Genomic DNA, 26417 nt, shown 5'->3' with positions numbered 1-26417 from the left:
AGTGGGTAAGTACTTGCTTCCTTCCAGCTGTACTGTCCTTTAACGTGGCTTTCCCTTCTCAATGCTTTCAGAAGTCATTTTCCTGAACTCCTGGTCATTACATAATCTGCTTTTACAAATAGTTTTCAACTGAAGCTAATTTGCTATACAAGAATAATTTTTTGTTTTGTGACCTGTGAATACTAAGCAACCACTTTATTCTAAAATACCACTTCTAGTATACTACTATCTGTAACTAAATGTTGAAGCACTTTGGGTCACAGTGTTTGTGCTTAAGTATACCTGTGCCCCCCCCCCCCCCAAATTTTGCACTGAATCTTAGTATTAACTTTTGTTCCAAAATTTTCATATAATTGTAATCACTGTCCTCCATTGTAAGATAAAAAGAGCTACCTAAGAGATCTGTGGCTCAGTTCCTTTTGTTCAGTATATATACCTCAGGGTAAAGGACCTAAGGCTCTGGCACTTCCTACATAATTTGTTCATAAAAATAATTTTCTGTACCTGTAGGTGCAGGGATTCATAGTGATTTTTCTGTTTTAAAAAATATCTTTCTACACTGTCTGATTTTTAAAAATGAGATTATCAGTATAAAAGAAATACAGCTATTTTGTAAAAGAAAAATACAGGAGAAAAAGGATAAAGCTACTTTGTTTTAAAACGCAGTATCATTAAAACAAAAACAAACCAAATTTGTTCTAAGTTTGACTTTAGAGTCAGGAAACTTAAGCTTACATTTTTGGTCTGCCATCTATTACTTTTAAAGCTTGGGCAAATTATTCATTTGAAGTCTAAATTTATTAATCTGTTAATGGGAACAGATTAGAAATCTTCAGAGAAGCTCTAGCCTTTGTAACATTGTGACTATAATGCTGAGAACTGCTTCACTCATCCCATTCATATTTTAAAAATACTAATATTTTGTGTTTGAGCATTTTAATAGGCTCAGAAACTTAAAAATGATGTTTCTTTTCTAACAACATACTCTTTTCAATGGGATATTATGGTTGTTATTATTTAACATGACATTTAGGGACTCAACATACATTAAGGTGATGGCACTAAGATAAATGTAGAAATAACCAGTACCATGTAATTTTCATAAGTGCTTAAATTGTTGGTAAACAATTTTATGAGTTGGAGGTGTTGAAGCAAATATTATTAATATTTGAACATAAAAGCTGATCAAAGGGGCCTGGTCCACAGAAGATGTTTATTTGATGTAACAAAACAATACAGTTAGTGTTAGATCCAACCACAAAGAGCAAAAGGAATGAAAAATTTGTACAATGTACATAGAAAAAACAAGATATTTACTGTGACAACTATATATTCCTAAAATAATGCTTCTAAAATTACTCAATTATTGAAATCTACATGAAAAAAAGGATGTTAATAGCGACAAAGTGCATAAAATCAAACATTGTATTTTGAGCAAATTAACATACTAGGCAATTTTGCTAAGAATGCATGATTTTTTTTTTCTTGTTTACAGTCTGCTCAAAATATCTTTATACCAACAGGGTAGGCAGAACATTTAGGTTTAATATCAGTTACACAATATTAGCATAAACTTCCACAACTACATAGGGTATTGTTTTCTTTTGAGCTGGCAAAGTGACTATAGAAACATCAGATGATTTCTCTGAATTGAGAATTTTATCCAAATAAATGCCACATACCTTCTAGATATATGCATATCTTTCTATATTATGTAAATGGCTTTACCCATTTAAATAATAAACCATACAGCATTTAAGAATCATTATTATATGATTAACAATGTCATGTTCCAGGTTTAACAATTTCATAGGCCAAAAAAAATTTCTTCTTAAAAACTAGTTTTATAAACGCAGAATATATTCCATGAGTAACTGCTGGTATTTTTTAAGAAAATATATTGTGCAATTGTGGCTACCACGTACTGCTGGCAAAGCATTATTATTTATGTAAAATGTGAAAAAAAAGGTGTAAAAATTTTTCAACTGCCTATGATCATGATGAAAGGTTACTGCCTTCTTACAAAAATTATATTGGCATCTTCTTAAAAATAATTCGAAAAAGGGATAAACTCCCTAGCCAAAAATAAATAAATAAAAAGGTGCATTTTTTAAAATGATGCTACTGCAATGCAATGGTTTAAATACCAAAAAACTGAGAAAATGAGCTGTCTGTGATCCAGCATTAAAGAACATACTAAAAAAGAGCATTAATGTAAATTAAGTAGAAAGGGGATCAAAATTGAACTAACCAAGTTTGTGCAGTATTGTAGCCAGGCTTCTAAAATTAGATGTAGAAAATATAAATAGACTGCTTTAGGTAATGAGCCACCAGTGTCCAAAAAAAGGAATGAAATTAAGAAAAAGCTCAGTTAACTTGATCCAAAGCTCTGAGTAATTCTTCACCCTGCAGTAGGTTTCTGCTGCCTTGTATAGGAGCATTAACTTCACAATCATAACTGGTCAGCTGTGGTAATCCACTTTCATCCATTGATTGCCCCAGCAGTCTACATGCTAAATCTGAAAAACAAAAGAGATACCTAAGTATACATTCATCTAGTCAATGAATATTTATTAAACACCCACAATGTGTTAGGTATCATAGAAAATAAAGCAAAATTCTGGAAGGGTTTTTAGTTTACCTGGCAAAACCACAACTATGTTAAAAAGTAAGTATAATCCAGTGATACTGTTGCTGTGTCAGAAATGTTTACAGGATACAATAAAGGCACAAAGAAATAACAATTTGGAAAAAGGCATAAATATGGTGGGCATCAAAGCTGATGCCTGTAATCCTAGCACAGGCTGAGGCAGGAGGATCACTTGAGGCCAGGAGTTTGAAACCAGCCTAGGCAACATAGTGAGACCCCATCTCTACAAAAAGCAACCGGGTGTGGTGAGGCATGTCTGTAGTGCGAGCTACTCAGGAGGCTGAGGTAGGATGATTGCTTGAGCTTGAGCACAGGAGTTTGAGACTGCAGTGAGCTATGATCATGCCACTGCACTCCAGGCCTGGGCAACAGAGCGAGACCCTGTCTCAAAAAAAAAAAAAAAAAAAAAAGAAGTCATAAAAGTTCACAAATTTCAGCTTCTATCAATATTGACAGCACATGGACATAGAGAAATCAAAGAAAATTACTAAAAATGAAAAGCTCCACCTTGAAATGTTAATCTCTGTATTAAGACCATCACATGAAATACAACTGTACTTTTTTTTTTTTTTTTTTTTGAGGCAGAGTCTCACCCTTGTCGCCCAGGCTGGAGTGCAGTGGTGCCATCTTGGCTCACTGCAACCTCTGCCTTCCGGGTTCAAGCAATTCTCATGCCTCAGCCTCCCAAGTAGCTGGGATTACAGGCGCCCGCCACCACGCCCAGCTAATTTTTGTATTTTTAGTAGAGACGGGGTTTCACCATGGTGGCCAGGCTGGTCTCCAACTCCTGACCTCAGATGATCTGGCTGCCTCGGCCTCCCAAAGTGCTGGGATTACAGGTGTGAGCCACCGCGCCCAGCCACAACTTTACTTTTTAATCTTGCTAAGGAACCAAAGTCATTCTCACTTAGATTAAAGCTCCTAAATAAAAATGTTTCATGTATTTTGTCTTTGTGATGTTCAAGGTCAAAAAGAATAAACTAACCAGAGGGTATTAAAATAATTGTCTTTTGCTCCATTCCATTCTGTTCACTAGATTTGCATCCTTTTACACGTTTCCAAGAAAGTGATGTAGTAGCTGCATGATCGTCTGGCTGCTGTAATAATGTTCCCTATAAACAGTAAAGTTATTTCAAGTTTAGTTTGTTGAATTTTTTTTTTAAACAACCAAAAACCTTGAAATTGGTGTAAATTTAATAACATTATAGGCAGTTTCTTAAATACTACCCTAAATTATTTTGAATTCTTTCTTAAGTTATTTGTCATCCATTATGACCATTCTGTCTATAAATACTTTCCAGTTAATTTAGTTTGAAAATATCAGAATGTATTATACCACCATTGACTTACCCCAAAACATAGCAGTTCTTTTTTAAATATGAGATGGACTCTCACTCTCTTACCCAGGCTGGAGTGCAGTGGCCTGATCTCAGCTCATCGCAACCTCCACCTCCCGGGTTCAAGCTATTCTCCTGCCTCAGCCTCCAGAGTGGCTGGGATTATAGTTGTGCACCAACACGCCTGGCTAATTTTTGTATTTTTAGTAGAGACAGGGTTTCACCAAGTTGGCCAGGCTGGTCTCGAACTCCTGACCTCAAGTGATCCTCATCTTGGCCTCCCAAAGTGCTGGGATTACAGGCGTGAGGCACTGTGCCTGGCCAATAGCAGTTCTTTTAATAAGGCAAAGTAACTTAAAGGGAAGAGAATGAGATTGGTGGTGATATTCAGGGTGGAGTAAGGGGAGAACTTCACTTTTTAACTCAAAATACACTGGAATTGTTTGGAATTTTTATACCAAGAATGTATGTATTAAACATTTGTATTTTTAAAAACCAGTGCATACAGAGTAAAAAAACCCAATGTATAACTTCTGAAAATATAACTTTACTATTTGGAAGAAACGTGGAAACACACACACACACACACACACACACACACACACGAAATAGCACATTAGCTAGAAAAGCAAAACCTACTACTCATACTTACAATTCCTACTGCTTGAAAAAGTGAACCATCATGTTCCATTTTTCGCTTTCTCTGAGCATTCTGCAAAGCTAGTATCTTTGGATTTAGTTCTTCCTCAGGAACTGTAGTTCTGAAAAGAAAAAAATTCTAAATGAAAATATAGCGTTTTTAAAAAAAATATCCAGTGAGCGCTTTTAAAGAAAATACATAATTCTTTAGTTCTCCAATATTAAGGAATATAATATACATAAGATAACTTTCCTGATCACTAAAGTTTATCATCTTAAAAGTAAAAGCTTAATTTTTTTTTTTTTTTTTTGGTGAAACACGGTCTTACTCTGTCAGCCAGGCTGGAGTGCAGAGACGTGATCTCTGCTTACTGCAACCAAGCCCTGCCTCTGGAATCAAGTGATCCTCCCACCTCAGCCTCTCAAGTAGCTGGGATTATGACTAATTTATATATACATATTTTTGTAGAGACAGGATTTCACTATGTTGCTCAGGCTGGTCTCAAACTCCTGAGCGCAAGTGATCTGCCCACCTTGGCCTCCCAAAGTGCTGGGATTACAGGCGTGAGCACCTGGCCGTCAAAGCTTAATTTAACAGGAAATTTTCTACAGTATGCGTATCCCTATTTTATAAAATAGAGCTGAACACAACTAAATTGACACTATTGTAGAGTCAAAACAGTTAAATATTGTCCTTTTATTCCACCTAATATAACAATGCAGTGATATTGTTGGGACTATTGAAATACAAGATCAATCTCACATTCGTATAGCATTTTCAGTTTATAAAACATTTCAAGTTCATTAGTTCATTTTAACCTTACTTAAGTTCCCAAGACAGATAAGGCAGGCATATCATACCCATTTTATAAATTAGAACCCTGAGGCCTATTGGGTAACTTTCTCAAAGTCCTACTGCTCACTAGTTGCAATATGGAAGTACACTCTAGGTCTCCAGATCCCTACCTCCCCTCCCCTGCTCTTCCCACTATGCTATTTTTCACTCAGTATTGATCTGGTTATCAAACATGAACTATGTATATCTAAAATTAATATTAAATTGTGAAGAATTGTTCTAATGAGTAAAGTACATCAGCTTTGTTACATTATTTTGACTTTTCAAGACACCCCACAAACCAAATGCATAATCATAATGGCTCCTTGCTGTTCCAGACAGTTGAGAATGCCAAATAGGTAAGTGATCTTATTTTGCAGTTTTCTTTGGTTTTTAAAAAATTTCTCTAAAACTTCTATTATATAGACAGGGAAGTTTAAAAATTCTTATACAGATATATTGTCTTTATGAAATGTAACTCAGTCTATTATGTAAATATCATTGTAGTAGTAGTAGTACTTAGTAATTACGTTTTTAATGGTTTATCTTAATTTTTGAAATTCCTTTCATAAAAGTTTTCAGTGTACACTACATTGGAACTAATGTTTAAAAACAGTTGCTAGCTGGGCACAGTGGCTCACAACTGTCATCCCAGCACTTTGGGAGGCTGAGGCAGGTGGATCACCTGAGGTCGGGAGTTTGAGACCAGCCTGATCAACCTGGAGAAACACTGTCTCTACTAAAAATACAAAATTAGCTGGGTGTGGTGGTGCATGCCTGTAATCCCAGCTACTCGGGAGGCTGAGGCACGAGATTTGCTTGAACCAGCGAGGCGGCAGTTGCGGTGAGCCAAGATCCGAGATCACGCCATTGCACTCCAGCCTGGGCAACAAGAGCAAAACTCCGTCTCAAAAATAAATTGCTAAAGTGACTTGATGTGTTGTTACACTTTGGCTTTGACAAGTACAAGAGAACAGTTGTTCAGAAAACTGGATATCCCATCCTCTGTAGCTGATAGTAAACTGTAACTTATAAGTGATTGTCATTTTTACTACTGTATTCATGCATCTGTCAGTCCAACAACTTTTTTTTTTTTTTTTTTTTTTGAAACCGAGTTTCACTCTTCTCGCCCAGGCTGGAGTGCAATGGCACGATCTCGGCTCACTGCAGCCTCCACCTCCAGGGTTCAAGCAATTCTCCTGCCTCAACCTCCCAAAGTAGCTGGGATTACAGGCACGTGCCACCACGCCCAGCTAATTTTTGCATTTTTAGTAGACCGGGTTTCACCATGTTGGCCAGGCTGGTCTGAAACTCTTGGCCTCAGGTGATCCACCCGCTTCAGCCTCCCAAAGTGCTGAGATTACAGTGATGAGCCACTGCGCCCTGCCTCAACAACCATTTATTGAGGAAGTACTACACATTAGGTCATGAGCTAAGTATTAGTATCACTAAAATGCCCAAGACACTGTGATTGCCCTCGTGGAGCTCAGAGTCAAAAGTGAGTAAGTGACACAGTAAATAAAGTAATGTAAAGTACTTCTGAGTTCATCTAAAGCCCCAATGTCTTTTCCAAGCTTAGGGAAAAGACCTCTCCCAGCACTCTAGGTCAAGGTGGGAATGTTAGGCAGGGAAAAAAGCTATGTGTTCTGGCTACGACAGTGGTTCTTTCCTATTGCTATTGATATCTGGCTTAGTCTAGACATAGTAGAGAAGGAATCATTTCCCTTTTCCACACACTTATTAGATAAAACTTAATTTCTTCTAGCTATAGCCTCAAACTTAAAATATGTGAAATCCCCTTACAAATTATATACAGAAAGTATAACTTAAAAATTGGGTCATGTCCATATGTTTGTTTGAACTAGCTCCATAGAAGTAACAATTCATGCTTAGATTCCTGTTGTACAGTTTGAAAACCTATGTAGCCTGCAATATATATATAGCTAATGTTCTACAAATACGTAATGAAAAATAAAAGCAACTTTAATACAAGTTAACTATAATAAAATTTTAAAAGAGGGGCCTGTAAATATCTATATTGAATGCTGAAGATGGAAGGCTCAATTTGGAATGTGCAATTGGAAATAACCCTTAAATTGGAAGGGCTTTTCTTCAGATAAGCTTAAAAAAGAGCTCTAAGAAATGGAAGCATCTAAGTAGTGAGGGTAGTTAACTAGTCTGATTTAAACAACTGTAAGAACTTTAAACAAGTTCTGTAAACACATTTACAGTACTGAGCTGGATTTTATTTTAAAGGTGTCAGAAGACCCTCCTCCATTTAGATAGGTAATTTTAGAATTTATAATTATTTTAGAAAAAATAGGAGCGGGCATGGTGGCTCACACCTGTAATCCCAGCTCTTTCGGAGGCTGAGGCAGGCGGATCACCTGAAGTCGGGAGTTTGAGACCAGCCTGACCAACGTGGAGAAACCCTGTCTCTATGAAAAATACCAAAAAAATCAGCCGGGCGTGGTGGTGCATGCCTGTAATCCCAGCTACTCGGGAGGCTGAGGCAGGAGAATCTCTTGCACCCAGGAGGCAGAGGTTGCCGTGAGCTGAGATGGTGCCATGCCATTGCACTCCAGCCTGGGCGACAAAGCGAGACTCTGTCTCAAAAAAAAAAAAAAGAAAGAAAAAGAAAAAATATATGAGGTTAATTTAGAAAGTTTTTTGAGTTCTCAAGAATTTGCGTTAGGGCATATATATCAGAAAGTTTGCTATAAGTTTAAAAATCATGTACTATCACATACATTTATCTCAAAAATAATAAAAGAACTATAACTTGAATGTTACATATAAATACCTTTGACTCAAAGCGACAGATAACACGTTAGGGCTTCTTGGATGAGATTTTTCTGTCTGTTCTATGACTCCTTTTCCTGCTCTGTTTGGTGAGGCTGTCCGACTTTGAGTATCTCTATATGGTGATGATGTGGCACTAGTAGTTTCTTTATGTATGTGGGTAGGAGATGGAGATGCAATCAATATTTTAATGTCTTCCATACGGTCTTTTGTCACTGTTTTTAATTCATCAGTGGTGGCAGTGGTAGTGGTGGCATTAGCAGTAGGTTCTTGTATTTGAGTCTGCTGGAATACTGTAACTGTGCTTTGAGGACTTGCGCTTTCAGGGCTTGCGGAACTGCTTTCTAATGGTGACAACTGATCGAAGGAACGTAACTGGAAGTCATCATCCATTGGGATATAGGGAGCTAACATCTCCAAGTCTAAATCTGTGTCCTTTAAAACAGCAAATACATGAGTTTTTACAATGGCCACACCTTATAAATAAAAAACAAGTGAAACTCAAAGTCACTTCAGACTAAAAATTAATGAAATTTAATATAAAACAAATAAGTTCATATACCTGAGTAGAAAATGGGTTCTTTGCTTCTGTGTCTTCAGCAAAAAGTTTTTCTACCAATTCCAACTTGAATTCATTGACCATATCACTATCCACATAAAAACAATATTCACTGGGACTATTAGGCTGTAAAAAGAAATATGTTTACTATTTCCTGAAGAAGCTTCCATATACTTTGCTAGTTGTCAGAATTTTCAAACTAGATCTCAGAAAAACCAGAAAACACACAACCAAGTCCATCGTGTTTATCAAATTTTATTTAACTAGGCCGGGCTCAGTGGCTCACGCCTGTAATCCCAGCACTTTGGGAAGCCAAGGTGGAGGGATAATGAGGTCAAGAGATCGAGACCATCCTGGCCAACATGGTGAAACCTCGTCTCTACTAAAAATACAAAAATTAGCTAGGCATGGTGGCAAACGCCTGTAATCCCAGCTACTCAGGAGGCTGAGGCAGGAGAATCACTTGAACCTGGGAGGCAGAGGTTGCAGTGAGCCAAGATCATGCCACTGCACTCCAGCCTGGCGACAGAGTGAGACTCCATGTCAAAAAAAAAAAAAAAAAAAAAAATTTGTGAAAATAGTGACATTTTGAAGCTTATACTGGTAACTAATTTTGCCAATATATATATTTCTGACTATGTAATATAACATCATTTACAAAATTGAGATGAAAAGAAACACCTTATTCTAAAGAATAAAACCTATTTGGTAATTCACATCCCACAATGGTACCTAATTGACCAATTAACTAGATGCTACATTCACTGGAATTTACCTTTGAACTGAGAAGGCACACTCCTGTGGTGACTGAGCTACCTAAAAATCTCACTGTTACTGTCGGGGGTGGGAGTAGAAACCTAAGTTATTTTACCTGCATATACCTGAACGAATGTACATTATTACTATTTTAAGAGTTCTGGGCAAGAAGTTTAACAAAAAACTATAGCTGTGTATTCTAAACAAGAAATTTTGCTTTCCTCATTCTAACGTTTTTGTTAGATTTACTTTTGTTAGATAAAAACCAAGATGAATCAAACATTTTTTTTTCTGGGTAAATTAAGCAACCAGAGCATAGGATATATATTCATTCAACACAAGGCTGTGAGATGTCAAATCCCCTACTCTTAGCTTGTCAGTTTTATTCAACAAATACCTAATGTAGAATTATTTACCACTTATTAAAGCTTATTTATGCCTCATTTATCAAGTTATAATGTTCAGATCTAAGTTGCCCTACTCCTGAGCATATTTTTAGATGTAGGAAGCCCTAAAATGGAATCATTCTAGATTTAGAAATAGAGCCCTGTGTGATATCTCTAAGTCTTGGCCAGCCTAGCCTTTAAAGATTATTTTTGTGTTCATAGGACAATTAATATCAAGACAGATCCAGAATAAAAAAGACCAGTTACTAAGTATTTATTTTATGTAACACTTGTTATTTTCATATTATACTTACCCAAAATTTCAAAATAGTGATGGAAATTAGACTAAATTGGGCAAAGAATTTATAAGGTCCTTTCCCATTTAAACCCTCGTAAGTCTATTGCTACCAGACAGTTCTCCAACTCAAAGGGGTAATGGGCCAGGCATGGTAGCTCACGCCTGTAATCCTAGTACTTTGGGAGGCCAAGGCAGGAGGATCGCTTGAGCCCAGGAGTTTAAAACCAGCCTGAGCAACATAGTGAGAACCCCAACTCCACACACACACACAAAAAAAGGTTAAAAAATTAGCCAGGCATGGTGATGCAGGCCTGTAGTCCCAGCTACTTGGGAGGCTGAGGTGGGAGAATCATTTGAGCCTGGGAGGTTGAGGCTGTGATTGCACCACTGCACTCCAGCCTGGGTGATAGTGAGACTCTTTCTCAAAACAAAACAAAACACAATAAAACAAACTAAAAGGGGTAACAGGTATAGGCTGTAGCTACCTTGAGCACACTTAGTACTATTCTCTTTAAATGTCCAAATTCAAGATGTTTTTGTCCTACTGATATAAATAATAGAGAAACAATGTACGTTTCACCTTTTGGTTTATATTAAGCTAGTTTCTTCCCATGTTCCTGACTATCTTTGAGCCTAAAACATGTGCTCAGGTCTAGGTTAGGCAGTAGCTCTTGCAATAATTTTAAAGTGCTAAAATTCAAACACACACACAAATGTAATTTGTGGTTCAAATAAGTGTTTGAATCAAACTTATAAATACATTCTTGAATGTTAAAATCTGAAAGTTGTCCCTTTCTGATTATATCATGACACCTACCTCAGGTGAACTTTGTCTAGTGCTTCCATCGGAAGGACTAGGTGTCTGATCCTGAATCTGGGGCATGGTAAAAGAAAGTTCCAGTGACTCTGGATTTGGTTCTAATTTTAATGCAACTTCTTGATTGAGTGCAGGGTCAGCACTACTTCGAAGTGGCTTTGGCGTTTCAGCGGTGGGTAATGGAGACATTGCCAAATTTATATTCTGTAATTTTTCGTTGGGTGAGGGGAGCATTACATCATTATATAATGGTACTTCCTCAAGTTGCTGGTCATCAGTTTCTGTGTCTGTGGGGAAAAAATATGAGTCAATCTAAAGTATAGAAGGATTTTTTTTTTTTTTTACCCAAGACAGAGTCTTGCTCTGTTGCCCAGGCTGGAGTGCAATGGCGCAATCTTGGCTCACTGCAACCTCTGCCTCCCAGGTTCAAGCAATTCCCCTGCCTCAGCCTCCCAAGTAGCTGGGATTACAGGCGCACACCACCACGCCCAGCTAACTTTTGTATTTTTGGTAGAGACGGGGTTTCACCATGGTGGCCAGGCTGGTCTCGAACTCCTAACCTCAAGTGATCCACCCGCCTCGGCCTCCCAAAGTGCTGGGATTACAGGCGTGAGCCACTGCGCCCGGCCACAAGGATTTTCACATATAAAAAATTTATGTTCTTTTTCACAAAAGGTTTGTCTAATTCATCAAACAACAAAATGTCACCAAATTTTCCTTCATCAGAAAGTTTACATACAATAGTATAGTATAACCATAAGTCTGAGTTACCTTTACAATCCACTATTGATACCGCGTCTTAATCTCTATGGCATAAAAGACAAAAGGCAATACCAACCTTTTTATACATTAAAATGTTCTCTACTTTAAAATTGCAGTTTTCATCTTCAATGCTTGATGTTATAGTATGACTACTTTTTTATCCTTTAATGCAACAATGCCTACTTCCATATAACTCTGCTAAACTGTGGAGAAAATCTGACAGCAGGATACAGAAATAGAGTAGCCAGGAAAAATTTATGTGGGAAGAAGAAATACCTTAAGGACACTTTGAAGCACAATTTCCAACAGTATAAAAAAGCAAGAATGGTAAGAAATTACGGGGGCAAAAATATTTAAGCAAATACATTTAAGAAAACTATAAACATATATTAGCTTGTAATGTCCAAATGATTACCAACAAAAACCGTAAAGTAATGTTTAGTTGAAATGGGGCTTGTAGCAACAGACACAATTTAGGGGATTAACAAAAATAACTACTCACCGTTGCTGCCAAAATCTAAAGATATGATTGTGTCTCCAGCGGCTGGGGCCAGCAAAGTTAAAGCATCAGGTTCCTTCTTAAGTTTGTCAAAGAGGCTACTTGTATCTTCTGATTCAACTTTGGTGAATAGCTGAGTCATTTTCATATCTGAAGATTCAACCGGTTTAAGGACACATTCTGTTTGTTGAAGGGAGAAAATCAAGTCGTGCTGAATAATACCACTGTCAAAACAAGAGAAATTGGTAATTCACAAATGAGCACTTGATACAGTGAGGGGAAGGGAGACTGTGAAATGGTCTCTTAAAAAATTCTGCTTTATGGACAGGAACATTTCAAGATTTCTTGAGATGCATGATCACTCATGCGTACTGTGTCACATTTAGGGTTTTAAAATGCTAATACAAAATAAAGACCCAATAAAATCCACAGTATGCAACCATAAAAAAGAATGAAATAATGTCCTTTGCAGCAACATGGATGCATCCAGAGACCATTATCCTAAGTGAGATAACCCAGGAACAGAAAACCAAATGCTGCATGTTCTCACTTGTAAGTGGGAGCTAAACACTGGGTTACTTGTGGACATAAAGATGGCATCAATAGACACTGAGGACTACTAGGGGAGAGGGGCAAGGGTTGAACAACTGTTGGGTATTATGCTCACTACCTGGGTGACAGGATCAATTGTACCCCAAACCTCAGCATCACATGATATACCCATGTAACAAACCTATGCATGTATCCCCTGAATCAAAAATAAAAGTTGAAATTAAAAAAAAAATCCCCAGTACAAGATAATTTGACTAATTTCAGTTAAGAATTTCAGATATCCAGGCTGGGCGTGGTGGCTCATGCCTGTAATCCCAGGACTTTGGGAGGCTGAGGCGGGTGGATCGCTTGAGCCTGGGAGTTCAAGAGCCTGGCCAACATGGCAAAACCCTGTCTCTACTAAAAATACAAAAAATTAGCCCGGTGTGGTGGTGCACACCTGTAGTCCCAGCTACTTGGGAGGCTGAGGCATGAGAATCACTTGAGCTCGGGAAATGGAGTGAGCCAAGATCACGCCACTGCACTCCAGCCTGGGTGACAGTGAGACTCCATCTCAAAAAAAAAAAAGAAAAAAAGAATTTCAGATATCCTTTGAGAAGAGTAGTAATGGCAAGGCAATTTGTAGTCAAGTACATGAAAGACACCAACAAATCTTCAGAATTGTTGTGCTGACACACATTATGAAATTGGCACAAAAGAACTCTTTGGCATCAATATGTGAGGCATGATCTAAGGATAGTCCTAAAGATACACAGATAAATGATTAAGATCTTTCTAAGAGAGGGGCCATATTTTCTTTGGTGGTAAGAATATAAGGTGATACCACCTACAGGATACGGCTGAAGAGGGATGATGAGCAATAGTTTATCTTCACGTTTGGCTTAAATGTAAATTATTCCTTTAATTAACGTATTAAATGTTCACTATCTGAAATGAACTGATAATGCAAAGATTAAAATAGCCAACCCTTGACCTTAAGAAATTTATAACCCATTGTGAAAGTAGATATGTAAACAATTAAAATACACTGTGATAACTGCTAAAATAGAGAAGGCTTGCTTCACTGAGAAGCTAACAAGCTGATACTTGGGATCAAGTGGCATTTGCTAGGCAGACTGGGGTGTGAGGAAGAGAAAGACATTCCAAGTGGAAGATTCTTACATAATGGTAAAGTCACAAAAGAACTCTGTGGCACTAATATTAAAACATTAAAGGATGGTGTCAGAAGTAGCAAAAATAAAAACTGCCCAAAGTCTTCCTAAGAGGAGTGACCCTAGATTTTAAAGGGAAGGCTAAATCTCTAATGCGTGAGTATGATGGTAAACAAGGATGCTGTACACCTAGGCAAGTGTTTATCTTGGAAATGATAAAAAGATCGCTAAAATTCTAAGGAAAATAAGATGATGACATATCCACACTAGAAAGCTTAGCCTGGTAGTAATGGGCAAGATGGACTAGAATGTGGTAATAATGTGGACAGGTAGACTAGATGGGGCAGGAGTCTAGTAAAATAGATCAAATGAAAAATTAAATTTTGATGTACATAATATTCACAAGCCAAAGAGCTAAGTGAAGAGTTCATGAATATACAAGAGCCATGTATTACATCATATAGCTTATTAATCTCATAGAATTTCTTTTCTTTTTTAAATTATACTTTAAGTTCTAGGGTGCATGTGCACAACGTGCAGGTTTGTTACATATGTATACATGTGCCATGTTGGTGTGCTACATCCATTAACTCATCATTCACATTAAGTATATCTCCTAATGCTATCCCTCCCCCCTCCCTAATCTCATAGAATTTCATTTAATTTTCATTATAACCTTCTGAAGGATTATCTACATAGATGAAATTCAGAAAAATGAAGAGACTTCCCCAAGGTCAGGGAGCTAATGAGTGGTAGAGCTATGATACAAATCTAGGCCAGGATTCTTCCTACAAAAAGAACACAGCTGTCTTGAGATAGTATATGCCGATATCTGTATAATTAGACCAAACCAATCAATGGATCTGGTATTTTTTTCATGGTCTTTTTAAAAATAGGAGTGAAGGTATGGGGATAGACAACTACTGACAGTGTTTAGCAGCATCACTGTGGAATAGCTGGACTGGAAACCTAGGTCAGAGTATAGAAAATAATAATTTGGTAGCGATGTAAAAGAATTAAAATTTAGTTAATATTTATTATCTTATCTTCCTATAAATGAACAGAGTATCCAAAAAGAATTACTATTTGTTCCCCAAAAATGTTTATTTCTCAAACTTACTTACCTCACAACGTAATTCACACATACAATGCACTGTGGTTGAGAATTCTTGGTGTTATATATGACAGTTGCTTGAGTTTCAACCCAGACATATCCACCTCTTTTGGCAAGCATCCTGTACTGTCCTGTGGTGACTTGTCCTTTAGTAAACACTAGGGGGGAAAAGAAAAAGAATCATGCAGAGAAAATATTTTAACTTTGAATTTTCAATTAAATGAACAGATGCTGAATGTTCATCATTGTTTTGGAAAACAAATGTTTATTTAGTGGAATCAGTTGTAACTGCTTACATTCTGACAGTGCGTCCCAGAATAGCTGAAAATGTACCCATTTCCTTTTTCAAACCCCCTAAATAAAACTCCTTTGCTGCCAGTGAGCTAAGTGAAGAGTTCATGAATATACAATCTTCAGTAACTAAAATTCCTTTAATGACTTAGGTTGGTGTCAGATTAGAGAATAATCAATAGCCTTTTTCAAGAAAATGGTGCCACAATAACTTCCTTAAATTCTGACTATGGTTTCCAGAGAACCAAAGATGCTTTAAAAAGCTATATGTAGCATATTTAAATATAAATTGATACCACATTGTAAGTCTTTTGGCAATTTAAATTAAATACTGATTTGGGAGAAAGTACTAAATAAATGCTAATGATGGTATTATTTTGAGGATTGGGGTGTCCTGACTGCAGACTTGGATTTACTCTTGAGTTCAAGGCTGATCAGTCACACAAACTCAGTGATATTCAGGTATCCTCAAGCACAGTGGGAAGTCATGCATAGGTACAGATTAAACAGGTGAGATAGTCCAAAGTTTAACTTATCTTGGGGATCTTAACATTCATTTGAGTAAAATTCAGAATCAAATCTTATGTCAAAGGTACTTGTTTTGGGTGACTATAGTAAAAAATAATTTAATTGTACATTTTAAAGAAACTAAAAGAGGCCGGGTGCCAAGGCAGGTGGATAACCTGAGGTCAGGAGTTCGAGACCAGCCTGGCCAACATGGCAAAACCCTGTCTATACTAAAAATACAAAAATTAGCCAGGCATGGTGGTACATGCTTATAATCCCAGCTACTTGGGAGGATGAGGCAGGAGAATCTCTTGAACCCGGTAGGCGGGGGTTGCAGTGAGCTGAGATTGCTCCACTGCACTCCAGCCTGGGCGAGAGTGAGATCCTGTCTCAAAAGAAAAAAATAAAATAAAATAAAATAAAAATAACCAAAAGAGTATAACTGGATTGTTTGTCACACAAGATAATGCTTGAGGTGATAGGTACTCCATTTATCCTTATGCACTGCATGCCTATATCAAAATATTTCATGAACCCATAAATATAAATACCTAACTATGCACTTATAAGCATTTTTTAAAATGGTACTTATTACCAAAGGTGATGTTCACCACCTTCACATTCATTGATTGTACAAATACTTTCTGAGTGCCTTTTACATACCAACCACTGTTCTGAGTATTTATGTGAATTCTGAAAATTATGCTATTCAATACTCTATAATATTTGGATTTTCAAAAGTCTTTGTATTTAAAATGCCAGGAAGTTTTTTCTATGATTAAATGATTCTATTTTTACTGATATTTGTTGCAACACATACAAAACACAAAATGGTCAAGATCTCTACTGAATAGGCCTGTTAACACATTTAGTCTAGAACTTTTAACCAGAGAATTAGATGGGTAGCCAAACTGTACAGAGGTTGCAACAGTTAAGTAATTAGAATATCTCTGAGTTCTTCCATTGTACTTACTATCATGATGAGTTTTGGTCAGATGATCAGAGTCCAAAGCATGATAATATTCATAAATTGAGCGGCCTAAAAGTTCTTCTGGCTCATATCCCATCAATTCGGTAATTCTGTTAGTAAAAAATACAAGATTTAAGAAAAAAAAGGGAGACACTGATAAAGAAAAATTTTTCTCCTCCCAAGTTAACTGATAGGCATTAATCTTATGGACAAGTGAATTTTCAAAAATGAGCATCCTCCTTTGCTTAGAATAAATTTACACCTCACCTTTGGCAACTACAGTTATTAAATCCAACACCACACATTTCTTTAAGTCCTCTAGATTCCTCCTGTTATTTAACTCTTTAATCCTGTTCACCCAAACTTGTTACCTGGTCTTTTTTTTTGAGACAAGAGTTTCCCTCGTGTTGCTCAGGCTGGAGAGCACAATGAGGTGTGATCTTGGCTCACCGCAACCTCCACCTCCTAGGTTCAAGCGATTCCCCTGCCTCAGCCTCCCAAGTAGCTGGGATTACAGGCATGTGCCACCATGCCCAGCTAATTTTGTATTTTTAGTAGGGATGGGGTTTCTCCATGTTGGTCAGGCTCGTCTTGAACTCCTGAACTCAGGTAATTCACCCGCCTTGGCCTCCCAAAGTACTGGGATTACAGGCATGAGCCAACGTGCCCAGCCTACTTGTTACCTATTCTTATTACATCTCATTATACATACTTTTGGTAACAAGGCAGGGTATTAATAAACAGATAAGAAATACTACTAAACTACATGGTAAAAGTTATAAAGGTAGTCACTTACACTTATTTTAAAATATAGATAAAATCTGTAACATTTCTTCATAAAGCCAAATTCTTTATGTAGTAACTTTTAAGCCCCTAGGCAACACCTCACTTTGAGAGATCAATAGCCATTACACAATTCTAATATCATCAACCAAAGAGCATCTACACTAAATGGGAACTAAAGGAATTATGTTGGTTTTTGAAGATGCTCTTGTACTTAGTTTAGTTTTTGGCATTACATGAAATTATGGGAGTAATTTCAGATAAAACAATATTTCAAATGAAAATAGATTGGAAAACAATCCAATTACCCTATCTAGCTCGCTGGCAGAGAGTAGACCTTTATTTAAGACAGAGACTAGATCTTATTCTCTGTAAGCAGTATGAAATGGCAACCATGACATGAGGAAGAGAAAGCTGTCTTCTTAGTACCATGCTGAACAGAAATACTCTCTTCTCAAGTCTTTCTAGGAGCAAAACATGAGTTAAGCTTTTAGATTCTCAGCCTTTAGATTTCAGAGGACTTTCCTACCGAGGTGCAAGCAAACCTTATATAACATGCTGTGTGTCAAAAAAAAAACCCTACCTAACTACAGGAAGGACATAGGCAAGATATTCTATAAAGGTATAAAAGTAACATTGCTTGTGTTCTCACACTTAAAGGCAAGATCTTCCATAGTTTATTACAAAATAAATATACAAAGGAAAAGCTGATTTGCCAAAAACCAAACCAAACTCAACTCAAACCCTCAATTCTTTACAAAGGGACATCTCTAAACACAGCAACACCAGGTGGCAGCATTATAAAGGAAAACATGTTTTTAAACAAAATCAGTCATATTTCTTGAAATTATGCTTTAAAAATAATTCTAATTGGTCTTATATTTTTCTGTTTAAATAAAATCCCCATGGAATTAAAAACTTTTTCACTATTCAAATCTTAATATGCCTATGTGTGCCCGGCATTATTCTAGGCATGAAAATGCAAAGACAAAACTCAATACGTGGCTAATCTTCCAGTAGATGTACTGTACTACTTAGGAAATAATGTGATAAATGCAGTGATGAGAATCTATTCCATGGAATCCTATCCATGCAAAGGAATGGTAGAATGAGGAACAGCCTCTTATAGGAGACTTATGACTAGAGACAAAGGAAAGGCAAAACCGCTTTCAGGAAAAAGGTATGGTATAAACAAAAGATTTTTAAAAATGCTTAACATGGTGCAGGTAACAAAGATTCTATAATATGATTAGTGGAGACAGATATGAGATGATGCTGAAGAAGTAGGTAGGGGGATCAGATTAATGAAGGTATTGTTTATATTGTCATAGGAAGCTCTGATTTAATCTAATGTCAATCAGTGCTTCTCAATCTGAGGTATGTCTATCACTAAAAGATACCAAGAAGTCAAAAATATAAACTGTATATGCTTTCCTAGAAGGTCAGTTTTACACATATTAGAGCAAGAAAAGTGAGGTTAATTTAACTTTAGAGAATTACATAGGTTATATTCTATACCAAAAGGGTCGGGGTGTCCAGAAAATATGACCAAAAAGTGTTTTTAATGGACTAGGAAACCCATGATCTAAAGCAGTATACTACTCATTTATTTTGAGGCAGGAACTGTTCATCTTCATTTCTACTTTAGTGCCATGAACATAGTAGATGCTCAAATAAAGTGTTGAATAATTTTAAATGATTATTACTCAGTATAGTAAATAGCAGCTATTTGTGGAATATTTTGGAGTTGAGGAGCTTGATATGTTAGATTTTCTTAAAATTGAGCAAAATTTTTTCCATAGCTTGGTTCTCAGGGGTTATAGATGCAAGAAGTTCCTGGAAAGAGCTCTAAACCAGAAAATAACAGTCTGCTGGTCAAACTCAAAACTGTCTTGGTTGATATATGAGCTGGCTGTCTTTACTGTTACCTCCTGTCATGATCATTTTGCTAATTTTCTGCTATAACTAGAGGGGAATGTCACTCCCTTTCTCATTTTTGCTCCACTACCTTCCTTTCTCCCTGGCCTCCTCTCTACTTTGTTACCTTAAGTTTTCAAAAAAATAAAAAATAATTCCTCAAAATAGGATGGAAATCTCTGTCCCATCATACATTTACATGCTAGTAGTAAACACCTTAAAATAATTCTTAGCTTTTCTATATTCATTTTCTTAAAGTTGACACCAGTAGTGAAGCATTCACTATCTGTACTAGGCACTCAATGGACTCCTTTAATCCTGACAACATCCTTCTGAGGTCTTTTTTTTGTTTTGTTTTTGTTTTTTGAGATGGAGTCTCACTCCGTCTCCCAGGCCGGAGTGCAGTGGTGCAAGCTTGGTTCACTGCAACCTCCGCCTCCTGGATTCAAGCAATTCTCCTACCTCAGCCTCCCAAGTAGCTGGGATTACGGACATGTGCCCCCATACCCAGCTAATTTTTGTATTTTTAGTAGAGATGGGGTTTTACCATGTTGGCCAGGCTGGTTTCAAACTCCTGACCTCAGGTGATCCACCCACCTCGGCCTCCCACAGTGCTAGGATTATAGGCATGAGCCACCCCACCCAGCCATGATTCTTATTTTATAGATAAGGAATGTGAATTTTACAACAGTTAAGTACCAAGGCCAAGGCCACATTGTAAGTATCAGAGCTGCAAGCCATGAGTGAATCTAACATCTGATTCCAAAGACAGAGTTAGGGCCAGAGCATAAATATCTTTGTTTGCCATGCTAAGTTTAGATTGTATTGTGTAGGTCTATTTTTTTTCAGTCTTCTAAAATACACATCTTCTTTTGATAAATGAAAAATTTACTTCCCTCATCTAGTATTTTTATAAACAAAATATTTTTGTGTGCAAAGATGGAGGGAAGCATTTGAGGCATTTTCAACAACAGAATGACATGATCTGATTTTCACATTAGGACACCCACTTTCTGGCAACTTAGATGAAAGATTATAAGGGTACAAATCTGTTGGCAAAAAGGCAGCTATGCCAACAACTCAAGTCAAGAGTAATAATGAGCTAATGAATTCAATGGCAGGAGTGCAAGGATGGAAAGGAGGAAATGGATCAAGAGATATATGTAGATAGTAAATCTGTAAGATTTAGACACCAACTGTATGTAGCCAATGAATGTAAAAGAAAAGTTACAGATGACTTCCAAAGTTTTGCTGGAGTCATGTGTGTATGGTGGTGTATTAAACCACAATAAGCATTATAGGAAGAAAGGCAGTTTTTGATGATGATGTTGTTTGGGGGCAGTAGTAGTACAGTTGTTACAGTAATACTTAGTTTACAATACAGAAGAATATCCAGATAGAAATATTAAGTTGGCAATTAAATAGAATTAGTTACAGGAAGAAATGTGGGAAATAGTAATAGAAACCATGGGCAAGGTTGAAGCTTCTCAGGGAAAATATGTAGGATGAAGAGATGTACAAACACTTGGCTTTCTAGTCCCCAACCTAAGGTAATCTATCTTTGCTCAAAATACACACTGCATATCTTTGAAATTCTCTAAGTAAGTAGAGCCCCTATTGGGGAAAAAAAGACTCATCTTAACTTCTGGATAGCACCTAGTAAAGTAAGTGTTCATAGTACAGAGTAAATGTTCAATAAATGTGGCTGAATTAATTTACAAAGTTAATCTAATATTATAGGATGTATCATTCTGTTCAATTTAGTGGAAAGTATAGTTTAACATTGAGTAATTTTTTTTTTTTTTTTTGAAATGGGAGTCTTGCTCTGTCATCCAGGCTTGCAGTGTGGTGGTGTGAGCTCAGCTCACCACAACATCCACCTCCCAGGTTCAAGCGATTCTCCTGCCTCAGCCTCCTGAGTAGTGCCTGCCACCACGTCCCACTAATTTTTGTATTTTTTAGTAGAGATGGGGTTTCACCACATTGGCCAGGCTGGTCTCAATCTCCTGACCTCAGATGATCCACCCCCCGCTTGCCTCAGCCTTCCAAAGTGCTGGGATTACAGGTGTGAGCCACCATGCATGGCCAGCGCTGAATCTTTGCTATGGTGAATATTCAGTAATGCTGTAGACTAATTAAAAATTTCAAATTCACATTTTAGATCTAATTTACCTTTCATCACAATAAGAAAATTTCATATCCAGGCTGTGTCGACTGAGGAAAGTCTTGCTATCTAAAGGAATTTCAATATTTGATGGGTGAGGAATGGGTTCACAAATCAGCACCAAGCAGGTCATAGGTGGTTTCTTATACCCACACTGAGGTTGGTTACTGTTGGTATCATATACGTGAATGTGGCCTGTGCAGTGCAATACCTGTGTATGAAGAACAAAGCAGTTAAAAAAAATATTTACAATGCTAGGGAAAAAAAAAGCAGAGATAAGTAGTTGAGTCTGACATGGCCAGTAAGCTTTGATAAAATTTACTGTCACTAGTGGATTAATCACGTTTTTGAAAATCAATGAACATTTTTCCTATGATACCACCTATGACCTACTTCCTGCCCAGGGCCTATACATTACTCTTTAAAAAATTCCCCTCGTATAAAGTCTAGGCTGCTTTTTCATTCATCTCATCATCATGGCTGTTTGATAGTTATTTCTTGCACTGATGACTATGTTTCAACATTGAACAAAGATATAAAACCATGATTAATAGAAAATTAAGCCCTATCAGGATTCAAATATTGTGTGGCTGGCAAAGCCAACTGATTAAGCCTGGAACACCAGTGCCACAATTCACGTAATTTAAGTTTGTGCCTCAAATTGGCAAATTACTACACGGTTCTGCATTTTGGAGATCACATGCAAATGAGTTGAAGATATAAATGTTACATAACCAAACACCATGGAACTGTAAACCTTCCCTCACAATTCTAAAGTTATCTTAATACTACAATGTCTATGTATAAATAAAGTGTATAATCAATCACAAATAATTTTCACTTACCTTCCATGTTGCAGACTTTATGTTCATAGTTCTTCCTCGGCTAGTTAGGGTACACTTCATTCTGAGAAAAAAGCTTCGCTGTGTGTTTTGTTCTTTACCCTTTTTCACAAGGCCTAATGAAAGCATGAAATAAAGTTTTAAAGCAACTAAATATACAAATTTGTTACAATAAAAGTAACAAAGTGCCCATCACCTAGATCAACTGAATACCCGTTCAATTAAGTCTCAGCATGAACACAGTAATTCATTCCCCTTTTACTCACTCCAGCACACCCAAGAGATCTGACACACACTACTCAGTAGCTGTGATTCCCTGAGTTGGCTGAAAGATAATCCATATTTGGGATAACAGTTAATCATTGAAGCCAGTAAGCTTAGTCAAATACACAGAAATATAAAAATGGTATGAGTTTGCTCTTTAACTGTGCTATCGGTACACAAGAATCCCTAAAGAAAGAACTTCAGCAAACTCTTCCTATCCTTTCCTGAATGTGTTAGCTCAATTTCTAATAAGCACTCTATGTCTTTATAGAACCTTTAAAATAACAACTTTCTTTTTAATAACAAATAACATTTTTACGTATCTTATTTTTTTCCCCTTAATTTATCTAGTAAAGCAGGCAGAAAATTACTTCTACTTTGTTACTATGAGAAAACAACAACAACAGATCAAATGACTTATCAAAAGTTACAGAAATAGGCAGGGCACGGTGGCTCATGCCTGTAATCCCAGCACTTTGGGAGGCTGAGGCAAGAGGATCACTTGAGGTCAGGAGTTCGAAACCGGCCTGGCCAACATGGTGAAACCCTGTCTCTACTAAAAATACAAAAATTAGCTGGGTGTGATAGTGGGTGCCTGTAATCCCAGCTACTTGGGAGACTGAGGCAGGGGAATCACTCGAACGTGGGAGGCAGAGGTTGCAGTGAGCTGAGACTGTGCCACTGCACTCCAACCTGGGATATAGAGCGAGAATCCATCTCAAAAAAAAAAAGCTACAGAAATAAAGTCAGAATTAAGTAAAGTCTATTCACTCCAATTTCAAACCTTCTATAACTAAAAATGAGATTATATTTAGGTGACTGAGAAAAGAGCATCTTGCTGGGCGCAGTGGCTTATGCCTCATGCCTGTAATCCCAGCACTTTGGGAGGCTGAGGCAGGAAGATCACTTGAGGACAGAAGTTTGAGACCATGCTGGCCATCATGGCAAAACCCCATCTCTACTAAAAATATAAATATCAGCTAGGTGTGGTGGCACATGCCTATAATCCCAGCTACTTGGGAGGTTGAGGCGTGAGAATCACTTGAACCCGGGAGGCAGAGGTTGTAGTGAACTGAGATTGTGCCACTGCACTCCAGCCTGGGTGACAAAGTGAGACACTGTCTCAAAAAAAAAAATTAAAAAAAATAAGGAACTAGCCTCTTGATTTCTTATCTTCATTGGTCAGTGTGCTTCAGAACACATATAAAAATATTTATTATTCAGAACCTGGACTAGATATTGTAGGCAATACAAAGATGAGTAAGATACGCCACCTTTCCTGAAGAAGTTAAAAATGTAGTAGATATAGTAAGGTCAACAAAAACACAATGTAGAGTTGGTACTTGAGACTTATAAAAATGCTTTAAAGAAGGATAGGGAGAGCTTAGAAGATAATTTCTAGTCAAGGGAAATCAAGAAGTCTTGCTTAGAAAAAGAGACATTAGAATGTCAGTAAGTAGAGATGGGTTAGAAGGGTATTCCAAGGAGAAGTAAGAGAATGAAAAGCACAGAGGTAGGAAAAATAGGACATGTTTGAAAAACAGCATATAGTAGTTTGTCCACAATGTAGAGTACACGTAGAAGAGTAGTAAGGCAAAGCTAGAAGGGAAGGTTAGGGCTGTACCACGGAGGGCTGTGGATGTCCACATGGAGTCCTGCCTAAATATTCAACAAGGGGCTTTAAAAAAGCACAATCAGTAACTTAAGGAAAATTAACTTAGCAGCAATATATATGTTAGAATTAGGTGACTGTAATGAGAGGGCTGAGCCAGTAGAGTATGAGGGAAAAGAATGGTGGCAAAAGACAAATGAAGAGGTAGAATCTTAATAGACTTGAAAACTGATGGAAATAAGACAGGAGAGAAATCAAATCTGGAAACTGTAATGCTAGTATATTGAAAAAACACTGTAAAGTAGAAAAGAAATGAGAGTAAGTTTAAATGTAGGCATGGTTAACTAGAAATGCTGGACTCTTGAGGAACAAGATGAATTCCAGCCTATACTCTATGAATAATGGAACTAGGAAAGATGGGCAGTCCTGGTGCTGATGCATGCCATTTGGGTTTACTTAGATTAAGAAGTGAATTTGCCCTCCCTGGAAGGATTTAAGAGTATATTTTTAAAAGATGCCATGAGAGCAAAGGAGGGGGAAGGGAAGGAGTGCGGGAGGGAGGGGGAGAGAGAGAGAGAGAGAGAGAGAGAGAGAGAATGTGTGTGTGTCGTGTGTGTGTAGGTGTTGATGGTTGTGGTAGTGGCAGTAAAGATCCACATGCAAAATCCTTTGGGTATGTTCAGTCCTTCATAAACTAAGCTTGAATTATACTGACCTTTGAAAGGAACCCAAGGCCTTTGAATGGGGACCTGCAGATTAATTTAAAAATCAAGGTAACTGAAAAGTACTAGTGTTTTCCTAATGAGGAAAAAAAAAACAAAAAACAAACAAACAAAAACAAACCATTAAAAAAACCTAAATTTTAAACTCTCTAAAAATAAGTCATATTTTGTATAATTTATAAATTCTAAAGCATTTTTCTAGAATTTATTTGGAAAATAGGACTATTTGTATAAACACACCACTGGCTCTCAGTGTATCACTAAAATGTGATGCTTTGCAATAGTCCCTGATTTCTAAAAGAGAAAAATCTGCATTTTAGTTTCCCAATGGAACATCAATAATTCATTAACCACATTAGTAATGATTTCAAAATGTTTGTGTGCTTTAAAAAAGAACATTTGGTTCGAAACATACATTTAAACTATATTAAGACTATCTGATTTAGAATAATGCATTAACATCATTACCAAATCAGAACAAGACTTCCTAATATCCATCCATTTATAGTCTAGCCCCAGGGAAGCACTGAGCAGTCAATATAAACCTCAACTCTGCACATTAGAACTCATATATTAAACTCATTGACAACCCACTTAGGTCCTTGTTCACAGCATATTTACTCCTCCTTTATACAGAATTCTAAAAAGTATGCATTTGTTTTCCAAATTAACAGTAAAAACACAATATGAAATTTAAAAACAGGAGTCAGGTCCTGCTGACAGAGTGAAAAAAGACAGAATGTGAGAATTCAAGAATATGAAAAGCGCTCCAAAGGACTAATGAGCGTGGACTCTGAAGCCAGTCTACTGAAGTTCAGCCCAAGCTCTGCCATTTACTAACCAAATAATGTTGGGAAAGTTACTTAGTAACTCTGTACCTCAGTTTCCTAGTAAAATAGAAATTGTCTAACAGTTAACTTCACAGGGTTGTTGTGAGGAATAAAGGAGTTAAAAGCATATAAAATAGGAAGAACAGTGTCCTGGCACACAGCATTCTCTCAATGGAGGTTAGCTATTATTATAATAAATGAGATGAAAAAGAAAACCTCAAAAATTATACAAAAAGTAAATTTGAGGTTTTATAATATAGAAGCAAACAAACGTATGCACTTAAATTGGAGAGCAACAAAGAACAGCAGAACATAAGAAATTTTCCTTGTGGTAACTTTCCATCATGAAGAAAAGTTC

General features: G+C 37.0%; 1 protein-coding gene and 2 long non-coding RNA genes across 5 annotated transcripts in view; 2 read left to right on the top strand and 1 right to left on the bottom strand.

The window, feature by feature from the left end:
* Nucleotides 1-26417, top strand: part of HIF1A-AS3 (HIF1A antisense RNA 3) — a 35540-nt gene that overhangs the window by 1645 nt on the left and 7478 nt on the right. The window lies entirely within an intron of this gene.
* HIF1A-AS2 (HIF1A antisense RNA 2) lies at nt 364-2414 on the top strand. Its single transcript, NR_045406.1, has one exon. It is a non-coding gene; the product is annotated as an HIF1A antisense RNA 2 (long non-coding RNA).
* The window catches only part of HIF1A (hypoxia inducible factor 1 subunit alpha), a 52746-nt gene continuing 27523 nt past the window's right edge, over nt 1195-26417 (bottom strand). For 2 of the 3 annotated variants that reach the window (NM_001530.4, NM_001243084.2), the window contains exons 5-15: nt 22635-22747; nt 21798-22000; nt 16929-17035; nt 15168-15315; nt 12344-12564; nt 11080-11366; nt 8826-8948; nt 8265-8698; nt 4640-4748; nt 3636-3762; nt 1195-2519 (exon numbers count right to left, since the gene is read on the bottom strand). In NM_001530.4, coding sequence (NP_001521.1) covers nt 2368-2519; nt 3636-3762; nt 4640-4748; nt 8265-8698; nt 8826-8948; nt 11080-11366; nt 12344-12564; nt 15168-15315; nt 16929-17035; nt 21798-22000; nt 22635-22747 — 2024 coding nt within the window. In that variant the 3' untranslated portion in view covers nt 1195-2367. The remainder of the gene's footprint in view (nt 2520-3635; nt 3763-4639; nt 4749-8264; nt 8699-8825; nt 8949-11079; nt 11367-12343; nt 12565-15167; nt 15316-16928; nt 17036-21797; nt 22001-22634; nt 22748-26417) is intronic. The other variant, NM_181054.3, reaches the window with a different exon arrangement.

This window comes from Homo sapiens, chromosome 14 (assembly GCF_000001405.40).
Source record: "Homo sapiens chromosome 14, GRCh38.p14 Primary Assembly".
Taxonomy (NCBI): Eukaryota; Metazoa; Chordata; class Mammalia; order Primates; family Hominidae; genus Homo; species Homo sapiens.
Note: the sequence above shows the minus strand (reverse complement) of the source record. Positions and strands in the feature narration are given on the sequence as shown.